This window comes from Homo sapiens, chromosome 2 (assembly GCF_000001405.40).
Source record: "Homo sapiens chromosome 2, GRCh38.p14 Primary Assembly".
Lineage (NCBI taxonomy): Eukaryota > Metazoa > Chordata > Mammalia > Primates > Hominidae > Homo > Homo sapiens.
The window spans coordinates 31,483,053-31,505,742 of NC_000002.12; the positions used below are offsets into that span (position 1 = coordinate 31,483,053).

Below are 22,690 nucleotides of genomic sequence, written 5' to 3' on the forward strand. Positions count from 1 at the left end.
CCTTTACCACTATGTAATGCCTTTCTTTGTCTTTTTTGATCTTTGTTGGTTTGAAGTCTGTTTTGTCTGAAATTAGGATTGTGACCCCTGCTTTTTTTCTGTTTCCCATTTGCTTGGTACATTTTCCTCCATCCCTTTATTGTGGGCCTAGGGGTGTCATTACATATGAGATGGGTCTCTTGAAGACAGGATACCATTGGGTCTTTCTTTTTATTCGGCTTACCACTCCATGCCTTTTAAGTGGGGCATTTAGCCTATTTACATTCAAGATTAGTATAGGTATGTGTTCATTTTATCCTGTAATTGTGTTGTTAGTTGGTTATTATGTTGGTTTGTTTGTGTGGTTGCTTTACAGTGTCACTGGTCTGCATGTTTACATGTGTTCTTTATTAGCTGGTAGCAATAATTCCTTTCTATATTTAGCACTCCTTTCAAAATCTCTTGTAAGGCAGGTCTGGTGGTAACGAACTCCCTCAATATTTGTTTATCTGAAAAGAATCTTATTTGTCCTTTGTTTAGGTAGCTTAGTTAGGCTTCAACCAAATTCTTGGTTGAAGATTTTTTTTCTTTAGGAATGTTGAATATAAGCTTCCAATCTCTTCTGACTTATAGGGTTTCAGCTGAGAGGTCTGCTATTAGCCTGATGGAGTTCCCTTTGCAGGTGACCTGCCCTTTCTCTCTAGCTCCCTTTAATATTCTTTCCCTTATTTCAACCCTGGAAAATCTAACAGTTATGTGTATTGCAGATGATCTTCTTGTATAAAATCTTACAGAAGTTCTCTGTATTTTCTGAATTTGACTGTTAGCCTCTGTGGCAAGGTTGGGGAAGTTTTCATGGATGGTATCCTGAAATATGTTTTTCAAGTTGTTTTCTTTCTCCCCTCACCCTTTCAAGGTTGCCAGTGATTCATAGATTTGGCCTGTTTACCTAATCCATACTTCTCAGAGGTTTTGTTCATTCCTTTTTAATCCTTTTTCTTTATATTTGTGTGGCTGTCTTATTTCAGTAAGCCAGTCTTCAAGTTCTGAGATTCTTTCCTCAACTTGGTTTATTCTACTGTTAGTACTTGTGATTGCATTGAAAAATTCTTGTGTTATTCAGCTCTGTCAGATTAATTAGGGTCTTTTTTATATCGGCTATTTTGTCCTTCAGCTCCTGTATTGTTCTATTGCAATTCTTAGTTTCTTTGAATTGGGTTTTGCCATCTTCCTGAATCTTGATGATCTTCACTCCTATCCATATTCTGAATTCTATTTCTGTCATTTCAGCCAGTTCAGCCTGGGTAAGAACTCTTATTGAAAAACTGGTGCAATCATTTGGAAGATGTATGACACTCTGGCCATTTGAGTTACCAGAGTACTTGCATTGGTTCTTTCTCATCTCTCTGTGTGGATGGTTTTTTAACTGCACGTAGACTGAGTACAGTCAATAGACTTGTTTTCTGGTTATTTTCTCAGGGCCAAGGCTTTGTGCAGGATCTTTATTTGAAGCTGACTTTCTGTCTTCGGTTTTAGACATGAAACCGCAGGGTATGGTAGCAAGGTATTTTTGGTGTTGAAGCTTTGGGATGTGATCCAGTAGGTGGCACTTAGGTGTATTAGTCAGTTGGTGGACTCTTGCTTGGTTGTGTGCCCATCCTTCCACCCGTGTTTTCTCACAGTTGCAGCCATGTTTCCTCTCAATGCTCTGAAAGTGTGGTTTCCTCTCCCCCTTGAGTGCTGGCTGTAGATTGCAGCTTGGTGCTCCTGGGCTGCCCACAGCCACTCTGGAACAAACTCAGTGTTCATGTTCCTTCCCTAACTTGTAGGCAGCAGAGGAAGCGACCTTAGTAATGGTTGTGGCCAAGGGTCATTTGCTTGTCTCCTGGGGGCTCCACCCCAAGGAAATGCAGTTCAGCAATTGCTCAGTGCAATCAGCCAGGATGGAGGGTCTGTGCTGTGGGCCCAAGCTAAGAGTTCCCTGTCTGGAGACAAGCAGTAGGGGTGAGACCCATGGGGCATGGACTTGCCTCCTCTCCTTGGGTTGACTGCAGTTTGTTGGAGGTGTGGATAAGGCACTTAAGGTATTTGCTTCTTCGTTAGTCTGAGGGTAGCAAGGCAGCTACACTGCAGAGGCAGTGGCAAAGAGACTTTCAGATGCCCCCTGGGGGCTGTGTCCAGGGAGTTTCCAAGCTGCTACTGGCTCAATAGCTCTGGTTAGAGGTGGCTAGAGGCCCAGGCCTGGAGGACCTGCTTGGTGAGGAGATATGGGAATGGGCACCCATGTAACAGCCTGGCCACTTTTCCATAGAACTTCTGCAATATGCTGGGGCCCTGCTCCAGTCCCTAGTCACCTTGGACTTTCCAGTACCTGAAGGTAACAACAGTGAAGGCTGCAAAGCAGTAAAAATAGCAGCCTGCCTCTCCGTCTGGGATCTCCCTCCCAGGGAGATATGGACCTTTTACCATCTCAAACACAGGCGTAGGAGGTAGCTGGAGACCCTGGCTGGGAGTTCCTGCCCAGTGAGGAGGAATGGGATTGGGGGCCTGCTTTAAAAAGTCTGGCCACATTTTCATAGAGCAACTGTGCTGTGCGAAGGGACTGCTTCTGCCTGCAGTTGCCTTGGACTCTCTGAGGCCTGAAGTCTGGATGGCTAAGTCGCCCAAACAGCAAGGATGGTGGCCTGTCCCTCCTTCTGAGAGCACTGTCCCAGGAAGGTTCTGAATCTCTGTTGGCCAAAAAACACCGGCAGGGATGGCTGGAGGCCCCAGTGGGAGGTTCTGCCTAGTGAGAAGGAAGGAGATCGAGGACCCGTTTAAACTAAGCAGTCTGACCCGTTTTCGTATAGCAGTTGCACTGTGCTGAGGTACCCGCTTCCGCCCCCTGCTCACCTTGGACTCTCCAAAGCCTGAAGGCTGGAATAGCTCAGTTGCCTAAACAGCAAAGATGGCCTCCTGCCCCTCCCACTGAGAGCGCTGTCTCAGAGAGGTGCAACACTGTTACTCCTGGCTGACAGGAATTACAAGCCAGTGGGTCTTAATCCTGTGAGGTGCCGTGGAAGTGGGGCCTGCAGACTGTCACTGCTCAGCCCCCTGGATTCAGCCCCTTTCCTAGGGGTACATAAGGAGTCTAACCACTCACTTTGCAAGAGTGCATCTGTTTTTGCAGGGAAACCCATAAAGCCCAGGTCTCTAAGGCTCCCAGGTCTCTAAGGCTCCTAGGTCTCTAAGGCTGAGCAGCTGCTCTGCAGAGACTCCATGTAGCTACATGTGTGGGACTGAAGGCCCTGGTGGAGTGGGTTCACGAGGGGATCTCGTGAACCGAGGATTGCAAAAATCCATGGGAGAAGTGTGGGTTCCCAGGGTCGCACATTCACTCACCACTTCCCTAGGTAGGGGAGGTTGCCCTGGCTCCACGCTGCTCCCGGTGGGCCATCATCCTGCCTTGCTTTTCTTCCTTCTCCTTGGGTGAACTTGTTTCCTTGATTAGTTCCAATGCCTGTACCTGGATATTTTAGTTGAGGTTGCTGTATTTCCTCACCCCTTCCGTTCTTCTCCATGAGAGCCCACACACTAGCTGCTCCTAGCAAGCCATCTTCTTCTTTCATATCTCAAAGTCATAAATATATTCTTTTATTTTTGAGACAGAGTCTCACTATGCTGTCCAAGCAGGTCTCAAACTGCTGTGCTCAAGTGATCGTACTGCCTCCACCTCCCAGGTAACTGGGATTATAGGTGTGCACCAGCACAACTGGCAGACTATATTCTATAGTTTCTTCTACAAATCACCTTTCACACATTTAGGAATTTAATCTATCTGTAACTTACTTTTTTGTGGGAAGTGTTACTATTCTAGCTTTTTCCCAAATGGACAATTAGTCAGTTGTCCCAGAAAAATATATTGTAGTACCTATTTTTCTCCCATGTCTTATAAGAGCTGCCATTTTGAAATGAGTTCCTCATCATCATCATGAATTTGTTATTTGTTTCAGTGTCTGTATTCTGTTCCAGCAACATAATTATTTCTCTCTAAGTAAATAGTATGTTTATCTTAAGATCTATACCTTCAAAATAAGTTGTATTTTTGCTTAGAAAATACCTCTAGACTCTTCACAATTATCTTTGCTCTTATTCACCTTTTTTGTTTCATATGAATTTTAGGATCATCTCATAAAGTCACACGAAATATCCTGCTGGGGTTTTTCTCAGAAATGCACTGAATTTATGAAGGGATATGTACAGACTTGACATATTTGTATTATTGAGTCTTATCATCTAAAAACACAGTATGTCTCTCCATTTATTCAGGAATAATTTGGCCCTCAATATGTTTAGTAATGTTCTCTATAAAGGGCTTGTACATTTTTCATCTTTAATAAAATTTATTCCTAAATATCTTTTCAGTTTTCTTGCTACTGTGAATGGCATGTCATTCTACTACACGTTGATTACTGCTAGTGTAAGAAAAGGCTATTAATTTTTGTATGTAAATCTTTTCACCAACAAATTTGCTGGATTCTTTTTTTATTTCCACTTATTTGCTTTCAATATTTTTGAATTTTCTATGTATACAATAATACACCTAAAAATAAAGATCTTTTTGTATTTTTTATTTCAGTTCCTGTACCTTATATTTTCTTGTCCTCCTTAATTTACTATGACTAATACTATACTAAATTGTAAAGACAAGCACACTTTTCTTACTTCTGAGTTTTAGCTATTAAATATGGTGCATGATGTAGTATTTAAAGGACATTATTCATCAAGTTAAGAGAATTCCTTTCATTCCTAGTTTAGTAAGAGCTTCTTTTTAGTCACTAATCTGTATTAAAAATTTTCAAATGCTTTTTACATATGTTTTAACACCATCATATAGCATTTCTATTAATCTGTTAATGTAAAGGATTACATTAATAGATTTTGACTGTATATAGTATTACGCATATATGGTACGCAAACATCTTGAGATTTTTGTCTATACCTATAAGTTGACTATTTACTATTTTAATATCAAGGTTATTCCAGCCTCATAAAATAAGCCATGTAGCATTTCATTTAAAAAAATGTACATAAGATAGAAATCATCTGTCCCTTGGAAGTTCAGTAAAACTTGCCTGTAAATCATTCTGGGTAGGATATCTTTTGGGTGTGGAGATTTTAACTAGCAATTAATTTAAATAATGGTCATTGTTAGTGTTTCAGCTTTGGCCATTATAAACAATGTAACTATATTAATCATTCTGGGCCTCAGTTTCATCATTTATACCTACTCCACACCATTTTTATTTTTTTTCATTTTTATTTTTATTTATTTATTTATTTATTGAGACAGAGTCTTGCTTTGTTGTCCAGGCTGGAGTGCAGTGGCACTATCTCAGCTCACTGCAACCTCTGCCTCCTGAGTTCAAGCAATTCTCCTGCCTCAGCCTCCAAGTAGCTGGGATTACAGGTGCACATCACCATGCCTGACTAATTTGTTTGTATTTTTAGTAGAGATGGGGTTTCACAACGCTGGCCAGGCTGGTTTCAAACTCCTGACCTCAAGTGATCCACCCACCTTGGCCTCCCAAAGTGCTAGGATTACAAGCATGAGCCATCGCTCCCGACCTATTATTCATTTTTTTTTTTTGAGACGTAGTCTCGCTCTGTTGCCCAGGCTGGAGTGCAGTGGCACGATCTCAGCTCACTGCAACCTCCGCCTCCCAGATTCAAACGATTTTTCTGCCTCAGCCTCCCAACTAGCTGCAACTACACCTGCTTGCCATCATGTCTGGCTAATTTTTGTATTTTTAGTAGAGACAGGGTTTCACCATATTGGCCAGGCTGATCTCGAACTCCTGACCTCATGATCTGCCCACGCTGGCCTCCCAAAGTGCTGGGATTACAGGTGCGAGCCACCACACTTGGCCCCTATTATTCATTTTTAAATCTTTCTTTTTGAGACAATTTTGATTTTTTATTTAAAATTTTTCATATTTATTGGCATAAAAGTTTTGTTATTTGTCATATTACTTTTTTATTTGTAACTATGTCTCCTTTATTGTTAAAAAATATACATATTTTTGCAAGATGGCCGAATAGGAACAGCTCCAGTCTGCAGCTCCCAGTGAGATCAACACAGAAGATGGGTGATTTCTGCATTTCCAACTAAGGTACCTGGTTCATCTCACTCAGACTGGTTGGACACTGGGTGCAGCCCATGGAGGGCAAGCTGAAGCAGGGGGGGCATCTCCTCACCCAGGAAGCACAAGGGGTGGAGGGATTTCCCCTTCCTAGCCAAGGGAAGCTGGGACAGACTATAACTGGAGAAACAATACACTCCTGACCAAATACTGTGCTATTCCCACAGTCTTAGCAACCGGCAGACCAGGAGATACCCTCCCATGCCTGGCCGGGCAGGTCCCACACCCACAGAGCTTGCTTACTGCTAATACAGTAGTCTGAGATCAACCTGTGATGCTGCAGCTTGGCAGGGGGAGGGGCATCAGCCATTGCTGAGGCTTGAGTAGCTCACAGTGTAAACAAAGCATCCTGGAAGCTGAAACTGGGAGGAGCTCACTGCAGCACAGCAAGGCCTACTGCCTCTCTAGATTCCACCTCCGGGGGCAGGGCATAGCAGAACAAAAGGCAGCAGACAGCTTCTGCAGACTTAAACATCCCTGTGTGACAGCTCTGAAGACAGCAGTGGTTCTCTCAGCATGGCATTCAAGCTCTGAGAACAGTCAGATTGGCTCCTCAAGCTGGACCATGACCCCCATGTAGCCTGCCTGGGAGATACTTCCCAGTAGGGGCCAACAGACACCTCAAACAGATGGGTGGCCCTCTGGGATGAAGCTTCCAGAGGAAGGATCAAGCAGCAATATTTGCTTTTCTGCAGCCTCCACTGGTGATACCTAGGCAAACAGGTTCTAGAGTGGACCTCCAGCAAACTCCAACAGACCTGCAGCAGAGGGGCCTGACTGTTAGAAGGAAAACTAACAAACAGAAAGGAATAGCATCAACATCAACAGAAAGGACATCCACAGCAAAACCCCATCTGTAGGTCACCAATATCAAAGACCAAAGGTAGATAAAACCACAAAGATGGGGAGAAACCAGAGCAGAAAAGCTGAAAATTCCAAAAACCAGAGAGTCTCTTCTCCTACAAAGGATCGCAGCTCCTTACCAGCAAGGGAACAAAACTGAATGGAGATTGAGTTTGACAAGTTGACAGAAGTAGGTTTCAGAAGGTCAGTAATAACAAACTTCTCCGAGATAAAGGAGCATATTCTAACCCATCGCAAGGAAGCTAAAAACCTTGACAAAAGGTTAGACAAATGGCTAACTAGAATAAACAGTGTAGAGAAGACCTTAAATTACCTGATGGAGCTGAAAACCACAGCACAAGGACTTCGTAACACATACACAAGCTTCAATAGCCGATTTGATCAAGTGGAAGAAAGGATATCAGTGATTGAAGATCAAATTAATGAAATAAAGTGAGAAAACAAGAATAGAAAAAAAAAAGAGTAAAAGAAATGAACAAAGCCTCCAAGAAATATGGGACTATGTGAAAAGACCAAATATATGTTTGATTGGTGTACTGGAAAGTGATGAGGAGAATGGAACCAAGTTAGAAAACACTCTTCAGGATATTATCCAGGAGAACTTCCCTAACATAGCAAGGCAGACCAACATTCAAATTCAGGAAATACATAGAACACCACAAAGATACTCCTCGAGAAGAGCAACCCCAAGACATATAATTGTTAGATTCACCAAGGTTGAAATGAAGGGAAAAAAGTGTTAAGGGCAGCCAGAGAGAAAGCTCAGGTTACCCACAAAGGGAAGCCCATCAGACTAACAGCGGATCCCTCAGCAGAAACCCTACAAGCCAGAAGAGAGTGGGGGCCAATATTCAACATTCTTAAAGAAAAGAATTTTCAACCCAGAATCTCATATCCAGCCAAACTAAGCTTCATAAGTGAAGGAGAAATAAAAATCCTTTACAGACAAGCAAATGCTGAGACATTTTGTCACCACCAGGCCTGCCTTACAAGAGCTCCTGAAGGAGGCACTAAACATGGAAAGGAGCAACCGGTACCAGCCACTTCAAAAACATGCTAAATTGTAAAGACCATCAACGCTATGAAGAAACTGCATCAATTAACAGGCAAAATAACCAGCTAACATCATAATGACAGGATCAAATTCAAACATAAAAATATTAACCTTAAATATAAATGGGCTAAATGCTCCAATTAAAAGACACAGACTGGCAAATTGGATAAGGAGTCAAGAACCATCGATGTGCTGTATTCAGGAGACCCATCTCACATGCAAAGACACACACAGGCTCAAAATAAAGGGATGGAGGAAGATCTACCAAGCAAATGGAAAGCAAAAAAAAAAGTAGGGGTTGCAATCCTAGTCTCTGATAAAACAGACTTCAAACCAACAAAGATCAAAAGAGACAAAGAAGGTCACTACATAATGGTAAAGGGATCAATTCAACAAGAAGAGCTAACTATCCTAAATATATATGCACCCAATATAGGAGCACCCAGATTCATAAAGCAAGTCCTTAGAGACCTACAAAGAGACTTAGACTCCCACACAATAATAATGGGAGACTTTAACACCACACTGTCAATATTAGACAAATCAACGAGACAGAAGGTCAACAAGGATATCCAGGACTTGAACTCAGCTCTGTATCAAGCAGACCTGATAGACATCTACAGAACTCTCCATCCCAAATCAACAGAATATACATTTTTCTCAGCACCACATTGCACTTATTCTAAAATTGACCACATAATTGGAAGTAAAACACTTCTAAACAAATGTAAAAGAACAGAAATCACAACAAACTGTCTCTCAGACCACAGTGCAATCAAATTAGAACTCAGGATTAAGAAACTCACTTAAAACCCCACAACTACATGGAAACTGAACAACCTGCTCCTGAATGACTACTGGGTACATAACGAAATGAAGGCAGAATAAAGATGTCCTTTGAAACCAATGAGAGCAAAGACACAATGGACCAGAATCTCTGGGACACATTTAAAGCAGAGTGTAGAGGGAAATTTATAGCACTAAATGCCCACAAGAGAAAGTAGGAAGATCTAAAATTGACACCCTAACATCACAATTAAAAGAACTAGAGAAGCAAGAGCAAACAAATTCAAAAGCTAGCAGAAGGCAAGAAATAACTAAGATCAGAACAGAACTGAAGGAGATAGAGACTTGAAAAACCCTTTAAAAAATCAATGAATCTTTATAGCACCAGGATTTATAATCCTTTGGGTATATACCCAGTAATGGGAAGGCTGGGTCAAATGGTATTTCTAGTTCTAGATCCTGGAGGAATCACCACACTGTCACATGTATGTTTATTCTGGCACTATTCACAATAGCAAAGACTTGGAACCAACCCAAATGTCCATCAATGATAGACTGGATTAAAAAAATGTGGCACATATACACCATGAAATACTATGCGGCCATAAAAAAGGATGAGTTCATGTCCTTTGTGGGGACATGGGTGAAGCTGGAAACCATCATTCTGAGCAAACTATCACAAGGACAGAAAACCAAACACCACATGTTCCCCCTCATAGTAGGAATTGAACAAAGAGAGCACTTGGACACAGGATGGGGGACATCACATACTGGGGCCTGTCATGGTGTGGAGGGAGCAGGGAGGAATAGCATTAGAAGATATACCTAATGTAAATGATGAGTTAATGTGTGCAGCACACCAACATGACACATGTATACATACATAACAAACCTGCACATTGTGTACATGTACTCTAGAACTTAAAGTATAATAATAATAATAAATCAATGAATCCAGGAGCTGTTTTTTCTAAAAGATCAACAAAATAGATAGATCACTAACAAGACTAATAAAGAAGAGAAGAGAGAAGAATCAAATAGATGCAATAAAAAATGATAAAGGGGATATCACCACCAATCCCACAGAAATAAAACTACTATCAGAGAATACTATAAACAACTCTATGCAAATAAACTAGAAAATCTAGAAGAAATCAATAAATTCCTGGACGCATACTCCCTCCCAAGACTAAACCAGGAAGAAGTTGAATCTCCTAATAGACCAATAACAGGTTCTGAAATTGAGGCAATAATTAAGAGCCTACCAACCAAAAAAAGTCTAGGACCAGACGGATTCACAGCCAAATTCTACCAGAGGTACAAAGAGGAGCTGGTACCATTCCTTCAGAAACTATTCCAACCAATAGAAAAACAGGGAATCCTCCCTGACTCATTTTATGAGGCTGGCATCATCCTGATACCAAAGCCTGGCAGAGACACACACACAAAAAAGAGAATTTTAGGCCAATATCCCTGATGAATATCGATGCAAAAATCCTCAATATAATACTGGCAAACCGAATCCAGAAGCATATCAAACAGCTTATCCACCACAATCAAGTCAGCTTCATCCCTGGGATGCAAGGCTGGTTCAACATATGCAAATCAATAAACATAATCCATCACATAAACAGAACCAATGACAAAAACCACATGATTATCTCAACAGATGCAGAAAAGGCCTTTGACAAAATTCAACAGCGCTTCATGCCAAAAACTCTTAATAAACTAGGTATTGTTGGAACGTATCTCAAACAAGAAAAGGATGCCCTCTCTCACCACTCCTATTCCACATAGTGTTGGAGGTTCAGGCCAGGGCAATCAGACAAGAGAAAGAAATAAAGGGTATTCACTTAGGAAAAGAGGAAATCAAATAGTCTCTGTTTGCAGATGACATGATTGTATATTTAGAAAACCCCATCATCTCAGCCCAAAATCTCCTTAAGCTAATAAGCAACTTCAGCAAAGTCTCAAGATACAAAATCAACTTGCAAAAATCACAAGCATTCCTATACACCAATAACAGACAAACAGAGAGCCAAATCATGAGTGAACTCCCATTCACAATTGCTTCCAAGAGAATAAAATACCTAGGAATCCAACTTACAAGGGATGTGAAGGACCTCTTCAAGGAGAACTACAAACCACTGCTCAACGAAATAATAGAGGACACAAACAAATGAAAGAACATTCCATGTTCATGGGTAGGAAGAATCAATATCATGAAAATGGCCATACTGCCCAAGGTAAGTTATAGATTCAATGCTCTCTGTATCAAGCTGCCACTGACTTCCTTCACAGATTTGGAAAAAACTACTTTAAAGTTCATATGGAACCAAAAAACAGCCTGTGTAGCCAAGACAACCCTAAGCAAAAAGAACAAAGCTGGAGGCATCACGCTATGTGACTTCAAACTGTACTACAAGACTACAATAACCAAAACAGCATGGTACTGGTACCAAAACAGAGATATAGACCAACGGAACAGAACAGAGACCTCAGAAATAATACCACACATCTACAACCATCTGATCTTTGACAAACCTGACAAAAACAAGAAATGGGGAAAGGATTCCCCTATTTAACAAATGGTGCTGGGAAACTGGCTAGCAATGTGGAAAGGATTCCCTATTTAATAAATGGTGCTGGGAAACTGGCTAGCAATATGAGAAAGCTGAAACTGCATCCCTTCCTTACACCATATACAAAAGTTAACTCAAGATTGGTTAAAGACTTAAATGTAAGACCTAAGACCATAAAAACCCTAGAAGAAAACCTAGGCAATATCATTCAGGACATAGGCATGGGCAAAGGCTTCATGACTAAAACACCAAAAGCAATGGCAACAAAAGCTAAAATAGACAAAGGGGATCTAATTAAACTAAAGAGCTTCTACACAGCAAAAGAAACTATCATCAGAGTGAACAGGCAACGTACAGAATGGGAGAAAATTGTTGCAATCTACCCATCTGACAAAGGGCTAATATCCAGAATCTACAAAGAACTTAAACAAATTTACAAGAAAAAATCAAACAACCCCATCAAAAAGTGGGCAAAGGATATGAACAGACACTTCTCAAAAGAAGACATTTATGCAGCCAACAGACACATGAAAAAATGCTCACCATCACTGGCCACCAGAGAAATGTAAATCAAAACCACAATGAGATACCATCTCACACCAGTTAGAATGGCGATCATTAAAAAGTCAGGAAACGACAGGTGCTGGAGAGGATGTGGAGTAATAAGAATGCTTTTACACTGTTGGTGGGAGTGGAAATTAGTTCAACCATTGTGGAAGACAGTGTGGCAATTCCTCAAGGATCTAGAAATAGAAATACCATTTGACCCAGCAATCCCATTACTGGGTATATACCCAAAGGATTATAAATCATGCTACTATAAAGACACATGCACACGTATGTTTATTGTGGCACTATCCACAATAGCAAAGTCTTGGAACCAATCCAAATGTCCATCAATGATAGACTGGATTAAGACAATGTGGCACATATACACCATGGAATACTATGCAGCCATAAAAAAGGATGAGTTCATGTCCTTTGCAGACACATGGATGAAGCTGGAAACCATCATTCTCAGCAAACTAACACAAGAACAGAAACCCAAACACCGCATGTTCTCACTCATAGGTTGGAGTTAAACAATAAGAACACATGGACACAGGACAGGGAACATCACACCCTGGGGCCTGTCGGGGTGGGGAGCAGGGGGAGGGATAGCATTAGGAGAAATAGCTAATGTAAATGACGAGTTGATGGGTGTAGCAAACCAACATGGCACATGTATACCTATGTAACAAACCTGCAAGTTGTGCACAAGTACCCTGGAACTTAAAGTATAAATAATAAAAAAAATATATATATACGTATTTTTTTACTTCCCCCATGGTCAGTCTTGCTTGAGGTTTGTCTAGTTTGTCTCTTCAAATAACTGATTTTTAGTATTGTTAAGTCTAAGTTTTGTTTATTTTCATAATTCATTACTTAATTATTTCCTCTTTTCTGTGTTTACACAGGGTTTCTACATAAATATCAGTAGCAACTTTATTTGTAGCAGACAAAATGTGGAAACAATTCAAACACCCATCAACAAGTGAATGAACAACAGATTGTGGTATCCTAATTTGTCATTGAAATACTACTCATGTAAAAAAACTCTATTAATACACAAAACAGCATAGCCATAACTCAAAAACATTATGCTATTTCCTAAGTGAAAAATAAAGTTTATATTGCATAATCCTATTCATATGAAATTTCAGAAAAGACAAACTAATCAAGAGTGACAAAAACATCAATGATTGATTGAAGTTGAGATGAGTATGGGGTCATTACTGACTGGTAAGGGGTAAGAGAGTGATGAAAATATTCTATATCTGATTTATTAGTCTGTTTTCACATTGCTGATAAAGACATACCTGGAGGAGCCAAGATGGCTGAATAGGAACAGCTCCGGTCTACAGCTCCCAGCATGAGCGACGCAAAAGACAGGTGATTTCTGCATTTCCATCTGAGGTACCGGGTTCATCTCACTAGGGAGTGCCAGACAGTGGGCGCAAGACAGTGGGTGGAGCGCACCGTGTGCGAGCCGAAGCAGGGCGAGGCAAGGGGTGACAGACAGCACCTGGAAAGTCGCGTCACTCCCACCCGCATACTGTGCTTTTCCGACGGGCTTAGGAAATGGCGCACCAGGAGATTATACCCGGCACCTGGCTCGGAGGGTCCTACGCCCACGGAGTCTCGCTGATTGCTAGCACAGCAGTCTGAGATCAAACTGCAAGGCGCAGCGAGGCTGGGGGAGGGGCACCCGCCATTGCCCAGGCTTGCTTAGGTAATCAAAGCAGCTGGGAAGCTGGAACTGGGTGGAGCCCACCACAGCTCAAGGAGGCCTGCCTGCCTCCATAGGCTCCACCTCTAGGGGCAGGGCACAGACAAACAAAAAGACAGCAGTAACCTCTGCAGACTTAAATGTCCCTGTCTGACAGCTTTGAAGAGAGCAGTGGTTCTCCCAGCATGCAGCTGGAGATCTGAGAAGGGGCAGACTGCCTCCTCAAGTGGGTCCCTGACCCCTGACCCCCGAGCAGCCTAACTGGGAGGCACCCCCCGGTAGGGGCAGACTGACACCTCACACGGCCAGGTCCTCCTCTGAGACAAAACTTCCAGAGGAACGATCAGACAGCAGCATTCGCAGTTCACGAAAATCCACTGTTCTGCAGACACGCTGCTGATACCCAGGCAAACAGGGCCTGGAGTGGACCTCTAGCAAACTCCAACAGACCTGCAGCTGAGGGTCCTGTCTGTTAGAAGGAAAACTAACAAACAGAAAGGACATCCACACCAAAAACCCATCTGTACATCACCATCATCAAAGACCAAAAGTAGATAAAACCACAAAAATGAGGAAAAAACAGAGCAGAAAAACTGGAAACTCTAAAAAGCAGAGCACCTCTCCTCCTCCAAAGGAACGCAGTTCCTCACCAGCAATGGAACAAAGCTGGACGGAGAATGACTTTGACGAGTTGAGAGAAGAAGGTTTCAGACGATCAAACTACTCCAAGCTACAGGAGGAAATTGAAACCAAAGGCCAAGAAGTTGAAAACTTGGAAAAAAATTTAGACAAATGTATAACTAGAATAACCAATATAGAGAAGTGCTTAAAGGAGCTGATGGAGCTGAAAGCCAAGGCTCGAGAACTACATGAAGAATGCAGAAGCCTCAGGAGCCGATGCGATCAACTGGAAGAAAGGGTATCAGTAATGGAAGATGAAATGAATGAAATGAAGCAAGAAGGGAAGTTTAGAGAAAAAAGAATAAAAAGAAATGAACAAAGCCTCCAAGAAATATGGGACTATGTGAAAAGACCAAATCTACCTCCGATTGATGTACCTGAAAGTGACAGGGAGAATGGAACCAAGTTGGAAAACACTCTGCAGGATGTTATCCAGGAGAACTTCCCCAACCTAGCAAGGCAGGCCAACATTCAGATTCAGGAAATACAGAGAATGCCACAAAGATACTCCTCGAGAAGAGCAACTCCAAGACACATAATTGTCAGATTCACCAAAGTTGAAATGAAGGAAAAAATGTTGAGGGCAGCCAGAGAGAAAGGTCGGCTTACCCACAAAGGGAAGCCCATCAGAATAACAGCAGATCTCTTGGCAGAAACTCTACAAGCCAGAAGAGAGTGGGGACCAATATTCAACATTCTTAAAGAAAAGAATTTTCAACCCAGAATTTCATATCCAGCCAAACTAAGCTTCATAAGTGAAGGAGAAATAAAATACTTTACAGACAAGCAAATGCTGAGAGATTTTGTCACCACCAGGCCTGCCCTAAAAGAGCTCCTGAAGGAAGCACTAAACATGGAAAGGAACAACCGGTACCAGCCGCTGCAAAATCATGCCAAAATGTAAAGACCATCGAGACTAAGAAGAAACTGCATCAACTAACGAGCAAAATAACCAGCTAACATCATCATGACAGGATCAAATTCAAACATAACAATATTAACTTTAAATGTAAATGTGCTAAATGCCCCAATTAAAAGACACAGACTGGCAAATTGGATAAGGACTCAAGACCCATCAGTGTGCTATATTCAGGAAACCAATCTCACATGCAGAGACACACACAGGCTCAAAATGAAAGGATGGAGGAAGATCTACCAAGCAAATGGAAAACAAAAAAAGGCAGGGGTTGCAATCCTAGTCTCTGACAAAACAGACTTTAAACCAACAAAGATCAAAAGAGACAAAGAAGGCCATTACATAATGGTAAAGGGATCAATTCAGCAAGAAGAGCTAACTATCCTAAATATATATGCACCCAATACAGGAGCACCCAGATTCATAAAGCAAGTCCTGAGTGACCTACAAAGAGACTTAGACTCCCACACAATAATAATGGCAGACTTTAACACCCCACTGTCAACATTAGACAGATTGACGAGACAGAAAGTTAACAAGGATACCCAGGAATTGAACTCAGCTCTGCACTAAGCGGACCTAATAGACATCTACAGAACTCTCCCCCCAAATCAACAGAATATACATTTTTTTCAGCACCACACCTATTCCAAAATTGACCACATAGTTGGAAGTAAAGCTCTCCTCAGCAAATGTAAAAGAACAGAAATTATAACAAACTATCTCTCAGACCACAGTGCAATCAAACTAGAACTCAGGATTAAGAAACTCACTCAAAACCACTCAACTACATGGAAACTGAACAACCTGCTCCTGAATGACTACTGGGTACATAACGAAATGAAGGCAGAAATAAAGATGTTCTTTGAAACCAACGAGAACAAAGACACAACATACCAGCATCTCTGGGACACATGCAAAGCAGTGTGTAGAGGGAAATTTATAGCACTAAATGCCCACAAGAGAAAGCAGGAAAGATCCAAAATTGACACCCTAACATCACAATTAAAAGAACTAGAAAAGCAAGAGCAAACACATTCAAAAGCTAGCAGAAGGCAAGAAATAACTAAAATCAGAGCAGAACTGAAGGAGATAGAGACACAAAAAACTCTTCAAAAAATCAATGAATCCAGGAGCTGTTTTTTGAAAGGATCAACAAAACTGATAGACCGCTAGCAAGACTAATAAAGAAGAAAAGAGAGAAGAATCAAATAAACGCAATAAAAAATGATAAAGGGGATATCACCACCGATCCCACAGAAATACAAACTACCATCAGAGAATACTACAAACACCTCTCCGCAAATAAACTAGAAAATCTAGAAGAAATGGATAAATTCCTCGACACATACACTCTCCCAAGACTAAACCAGAAAGAAGTTGAATCTCTGAATAGACCAATAACAGGAGCTGAAATTGTGCCAATAATCAACAGCTTACCAACCAAAAAGAGTTCAGGACTAGATGGATTCACAGCCGAATTCTACCAGAGGTACAAGGAGGAACTGGTACCATTCCTTCTGAAACTATTCCAATGAATAGAAAAAGAGGGAATCCTCCCTAACTCATTTTATGAGGCCAGCATCATCCTGATACCAAAGCCGGGCAGAGACACAACAAAAAAAGAGAATTTTAGACCAATATCCTTGATGAACATTGATGCAAAAATCCTCAATAAAATACTAGCAAACCAAATCCAGCAGCACATCAAAAAGCTTATCCACCACGATCAAGTGGGCTTCATCCCTGGGATGCAAGGCTGATTCAATATATGCATATCAATAAATGTAATCCAGCATATAAACAGAACCAAAGACAAAAACCACATGATTATCTCAATAGATGCAGAAAAGGCCTTTGACAAAATTCAACAACCCTTCATGCTAAAAACTCTCAATAAATTAGGTATTGATGGGACGTATCTCAAAATAATAAGAGCTATCTATGACAAACCCACAGCCAATATCATACTGAATGGGCAAAAACTGGAAGCATTCCCTTTGAAAACTGGCACAAGACAGGGATGCCCTCTCTCACCACTCCTATTCAACATAGTGTTGGAAGTTCTGGCCAGGGCAATCAGGCAGGAGAAGGAAATAAAGGGTATTCAATTAGGAAAAGAGGAAGTCAAATTGTCCCTGTTTGCAGATGACATGATTGTATATCTAGAAAACCCCATTGTCTCAGCCCAAAATCCCCTTAAGCTGATAAGCAACTTCAGCAAAGTCTCAGGATACAAAATCAATGTACAAAAATCACAAGCATTCTTATACACCAATAACAGACAAACAGAGAGCCAAATCATGAGTGAACTCCCATTCACAATTGCTTCAAAGAGAATAAAATACCTAGGAATCCAACTTACAAGGGACGTGAAGGACCTCTTCAAGGAGAACTACAAACCACTGCTCAATGAAATAAAAGAGGATACAAACAAATGGAAGAACATTCCATGCTCATGGGTAGGAAGAATCAATATCGTGAAAATGGCCATACTGCCCAAGGTAATGTATAGATTCAATGCCATCCCCATCAAGCTACCAATGCCTTTCTTCACAGAATTGGAAAAAACTACTTTAAAGTTCATATGGAACCAAAAAAGAGCCCGCATCATCAAGTCAATCCTAAGCCCAAAGAACAAAGCTGGAGGCATCACGCTACCTGACTTCAAACTATACTGCAAGGCTACAGTAACCAAAACAGCATGGTACTGGTACCAAAACAGAAATATAGATCAATGCAACAGAACAGAGCCCTCAGAAATAATGCCACATATCTACAACTATCTGATCTTTGACAAACCTGACAAAAACAAGCAATGGGGAAAGGATCCCCTATTTAATAAATGGTGCTGGGAAAACTGGCTAGCCATATGTAGAAAGCTGAAACTGGATCCCTTCCTTACACCTTACACAAAAATTAATTCAAGATGGATTAAAGACTTAAACATTAGGCCTAAAACCATAAAAACCCTAGAAGAAAGCCTAGGCATTACCATTCAGGACATAGGCATGGGCAAGGACTTCATGTCTAAAACACCAAAAGCAATGGCAACAAAAGCCAAAATTGACAAATGGGATCTAATTAAACTAAAGAGCTTCTGCACAGCAAAAGAAACTACCATCAGAGTGGACAGGCAACCTACAGAATGGGAGAAAATTTTCACAACCTACTCATCTGACAAAGGGCTAATATCCAGAATCTACAATGAACTCAAACAAATTTACAAGAAAAAATCAAACAACCCCATCAAAAAGTGGGCAAAGCATATGAACAGATGCTTCTCAAAAGAAGACATTTATGCAGCCAAAAGACACGTGAAAAAATGCTCATCATCACTGGCCATCAGAGAAATGCAAATCAAAACCACAATGAGATACCATCTCACGCCAGTTAGAATGGCAATCATTAAAAAGTCAGGAAACAACAGGTGCTGGAGAGGATGTGGAGAAATAAGAACACTTTTACACTGTTGGTGGGGCTGTGAACTAGTTCAACCATTGTGGAAGTCAGTGCGGCGATTCCTCAGGGATCTAGAACTAGAAATACCATTTGACCCAGCCATCCCATTACTGGGTATATAACCAAAGGACTATAAATCGTGCTGCTATAAAGACACATGCACACGTATGTTTATTGTGGCACTATTCACAATAGCAAAGACTTGGAACCAACCCAAATGTCCAACAATGATAGATTGGATTAAGAAAATGTGGCACATATACACCATGGAATACTATGCAGCCATAAAAAAGGATGGGTTCATGTCCTTTGTAGGGACATGGATGAAATTGGAAATCATCATTCTCAGTAAACTATCGCAAGAACAAAAAACCAAACACCACATGTTCTCACTCATAGATGGGAATTGAACAATGAGAACACATGGACACAGGAAGGGGAACATCACACTCTGGGGCCTGTTGTGGGGTGGGGGGAGCGGGGAGGGGGAGCATTACGAAATATACCTAATGCTAAATGACGAGTTAATGGGTGCAGCACACCAGCATGGCACATGTATACATATGTAACTAACCTGCCTGTTGTGCACATGTACCCTAAAACTTAAAGTATAATAATAATAATTTAAAAAAAAAAAGAATTTTTTAATCAAAAGTTAAAAAAAAAAAGACATACCTGAGACTGGGTAATTTACAAGGAAAAAGAGGCTTAATGGATTCACAGTTCCACGTGGCTGGGGAGGCCTAACAATCATGACACAAGGTGAAAGGCATGTCTTACATGGTTGCAGACAAGAGAGAATAACAGAGCTTGTGCAGGGAAACTCCCCTTTATAAAACCATCAGACCTCGTGAGACTTATTCACTATCATGAGAACAGCACAGGAAAGACCTGCCCCCATGATTCAATTACCTCCCACCCACCAAGTCCCTCCCATGACACGGGGGAATTGTGGGAGCTTCCATTCAAGGTGAGATTTGGGTGGGGACACAGCCAAACCATATCATCTGGGTTGTTGTGGTGGTTCCATAGGTACATACATTTTCAAAACTCATCAAACTGTACACTTAAAACTAGTGTATTTTATTATGTGTAAATTATACCTTCATAAGCTTATTTTTAAAAACTACAATGAGATACCTTTTCTCACCCACTGGAATGGTTAATATTAAAAAGACTGACAATACAAATGTCGAGAATGTGGAGCAACATTCTCATACACTGCTGATGAGAGTGTAAAATGGTGCATTCACATTGGAAAACTCATTGGTGATTTCTAGTAAAGATAAACGCATGCCTTCCTTCTTATCTAGAAGTATATATCTAAGAGAAATGCATATATATTTACAAAAAGACTTTTCCAAAAATGTTCATAGCTGCTTTTTCTCACAGTAGTCAAAAATGGAAAACAACTCAAATGTTCAACAAATAAAAGAAGATAAATAAATTGTGGTGTTCCAGACCATGAAATAATATGCATCATTAAAACAATAATGAATTACTTATACACACAAGCCCATGGATGACTCTGTATATAATTCTATACCTGTGTGAATCTGCTTTGGCAGTGTATAACTGGTCACATGTTTAGCAGCTTTGAATACAAGCCCTCCTTTTCTACCATCCTTCTTGGGTTTTGGTATTCATTGTCTTGTGAGTCCATTTTTTTGTATGGCTTATAAGGTCATCCTGGAGTTTCGTCTTGTTTGGAAACCCCATTTCCTATCCCCCAACCAGCTGGAAAGGTTTGGATACCATGATAATAAAGCACATACAAATGGACTTAGGTGACCTCTGAGTCAGATATCAACAAGAAAATCCCTTCATTGCTTAGACTTTGAGGTACTCTTCCTTGATTTTATCTCTCTTCACCTTTCCTCACCTGGGAGGCAGAAGATAGGGAGTCGCCCAAGGCAAGGGGATCAAAAAATCTCCTCTACCTGCTTTTGATGTCAGAATTAGCCCTGTCTGAAGCTGAGCGATCAGCCCAGCTCACCAAGTATTTGAGAGAAAAACTGGAATAGTACATACAATGTGTTTGCCTGGAGTTTTTCTCTGCATAGTTACCTGTGATGGTCAAAGTGACTAACCTTCAGGGATCCTGGGAGCTGGCAAAAGATCATCACAGTCGAACAAATAGCTGACCTATAAATTGATTCTCATTCCCTAGTCTCGTGTTCATTATTACAATACAAACACCATGAAGACAAAAAAGCCGTGCCCCAAGCCCCTTAGAGTTGTCCAGCTCTCTTCCCAAGCACTTTTTTTCCTTGTCTATGCCAGAAGGCACTGGATTCGGCAGTCTCTTGCCCATTCAAAAAGTCCTAAACTGACACTTCTGAAGAGGATCAACTAGCAAACCAGCATTAGACTGTACTCTTTATTTCAGGCTACATCAGAATGAGGCATCCATTGATAAATGGTTATGATCAAAAGAAAGACTTGGAGAATCAGTTGTCCAACTGATTATAATTTTCTTTGCACAAAATATGGATTCAATTTCTGGTATTGAAGACCAACTCAGTAGAAAGAAGCCTTAGAGGGTTATGTCAGATTTCCCTTTATTAGATCCTTTGCTCTCCTTTTGTCTCCACATAAGCTTCAGATATATGCTGGAGAAAACCTTCAGTAAGCCATGAAGTGCCCTTTGAACATCCGTCCCTCCTGGTTGCAGTATTCTGAGCAGATAAGACAGGCAATTAACTTGGTACACAGATAAAGTTGGGGCAGGAAGCCCGGCATGATTTTAGGCTCTTGGTGAAGGAGAAGGTAAAACAACTCACCTTATAGAAGAGAGAAAACATGTTACAAGAACACACATAACCCCACTCACTACCCCATTGGGTATAGTCTTGTTCAGTCCTACATTTCTAGAAGGGAACAGCTCTGCTGTTTATACCTGTGGGAGGCATACTGGGGCCTAGTCTACCACAGGTATTAGATCTACATGTGGTTAGCAGGAAAGTGTCCATAAATTTGCAGATCCTTCAGGAATTCACCCTATGTTTATACCTAGAATTTAGAGTTGAGTTCAAGGCTGATGAGCATAAGTTTAGCCCAAATTCAACTGAACCTGAGATTATGGATCCCGCCCTAATTTAAGGGTAAGAAAAACAGAACAGCAAAGATCAAGAGAACAAGAGTGAGTTCAAGGAATTCTGGAGCAACCTATCAAATTAACAGTATTTACTTAGCCCTGTGTGGCTCCACACAATGCTTTGTGTTAAAGGATTCTTAAGTGTGAGACATGGGCCCTGGACCACAGAGGGGACAAGACATGCACCCATGAGAAGATCAAGAAATCATGCTAGGTAGCGCATAATTCAGGACCAAGTTGTGTGTGATTGTTGGTGAACACATTAACAACAAATCAGCAAATGGAGAGAGTCTGTGGCCTTCCTCCAGAGATCAGGGAAGCTTTAAAGGAGGGACTGAGGCTTAAGCAGCATTCTTAAAAAGGATTTGGATTAGCTGAGAAGAAATGGAGAGAGGGAGACATTCTTGCTTTGGCTGGAAAAGGAACAAAAGCTTGGGAGGGAGGAGTGAGTGCAAAACATTCACGTGACAAGAAGGAAGTAGAGAAAGAGTGAGGCAAGGTTCATAAGATAAGAGCCAAACCATGGAGGGTCTTGTAAGCTGATGAGTTTGTTTGATTTAATGTGTTAAGAAATGCAACACTGTATTAATAAGTCTATCCATTTAGTTGCTGACAGTGCAGGGTCAAGTGAGGCACCTGAGGTAAACAAAGTACTTGCCTGCAGTGCAAAATTTAAGGGGGCACCATAAAACTCAGTAATCAAGATAAACAATATTTTAATGCAGCATTTAAAAGATAAGATTCATGTAGAAAATCCATAATTAATAAAATATCAAGATTTTAAAGAAAGACAGCATCAGTAACAGTGGCATGCTAAG

At 41.0% G+C, this 22,690-nt stretch overlaps 3 annotated features.

Moving 5' to 3' along the window:
• Positions 6,268 to 6,769: an enhancer, noted in NCBI's record as "NANOG hESC enhancer chr2:31712186-31712687 (GRCh37/hg19 assembly coordinates)". NCBI's record gives its function as "activates a minimal SCP1, AML or CMV promoter by ChIP-STARR-seq in primed H9 embryonic stem cells {active_cell/tissue: H9 hESC(primed)}" and the evidence as "EXISTENCE:reporter gene assay evidence [ECO:0000049][PMID:30033119]".
• Positions 13,030 to 13,646: an enhancer, noted in NCBI's record as "NANOG-H3K27ac-H3K4me1 hESC enhancer chr2:31718948-31719564 (GRCh37/hg19 assembly coordinates)". NCBI's record gives its function as "activates a minimal SCP1, AML or CMV promoter by ChIP-STARR-seq in naive and primed H9 embryonic stem cells {active_cell/tissue: H9 hESC(naive and primed)}" and the evidence as "EXISTENCE:reporter gene assay evidence [ECO:0000049][PMID:30033119]".
• Positions 13,647 to 14,262: an enhancer, noted in NCBI's record as "NANOG-H3K27ac-H3K4me1 hESC enhancer chr2:31719565-31720180 (GRCh37/hg19 assembly coordinates)". NCBI's record gives its function as "activates a minimal SCP1, AML or CMV promoter by ChIP-STARR-seq in naive H9 embryonic stem cells {active_cell/tissue: H9 hESC(naive)}" and the evidence as "EXISTENCE:reporter gene assay evidence [ECO:0000049][PMID:30033119]".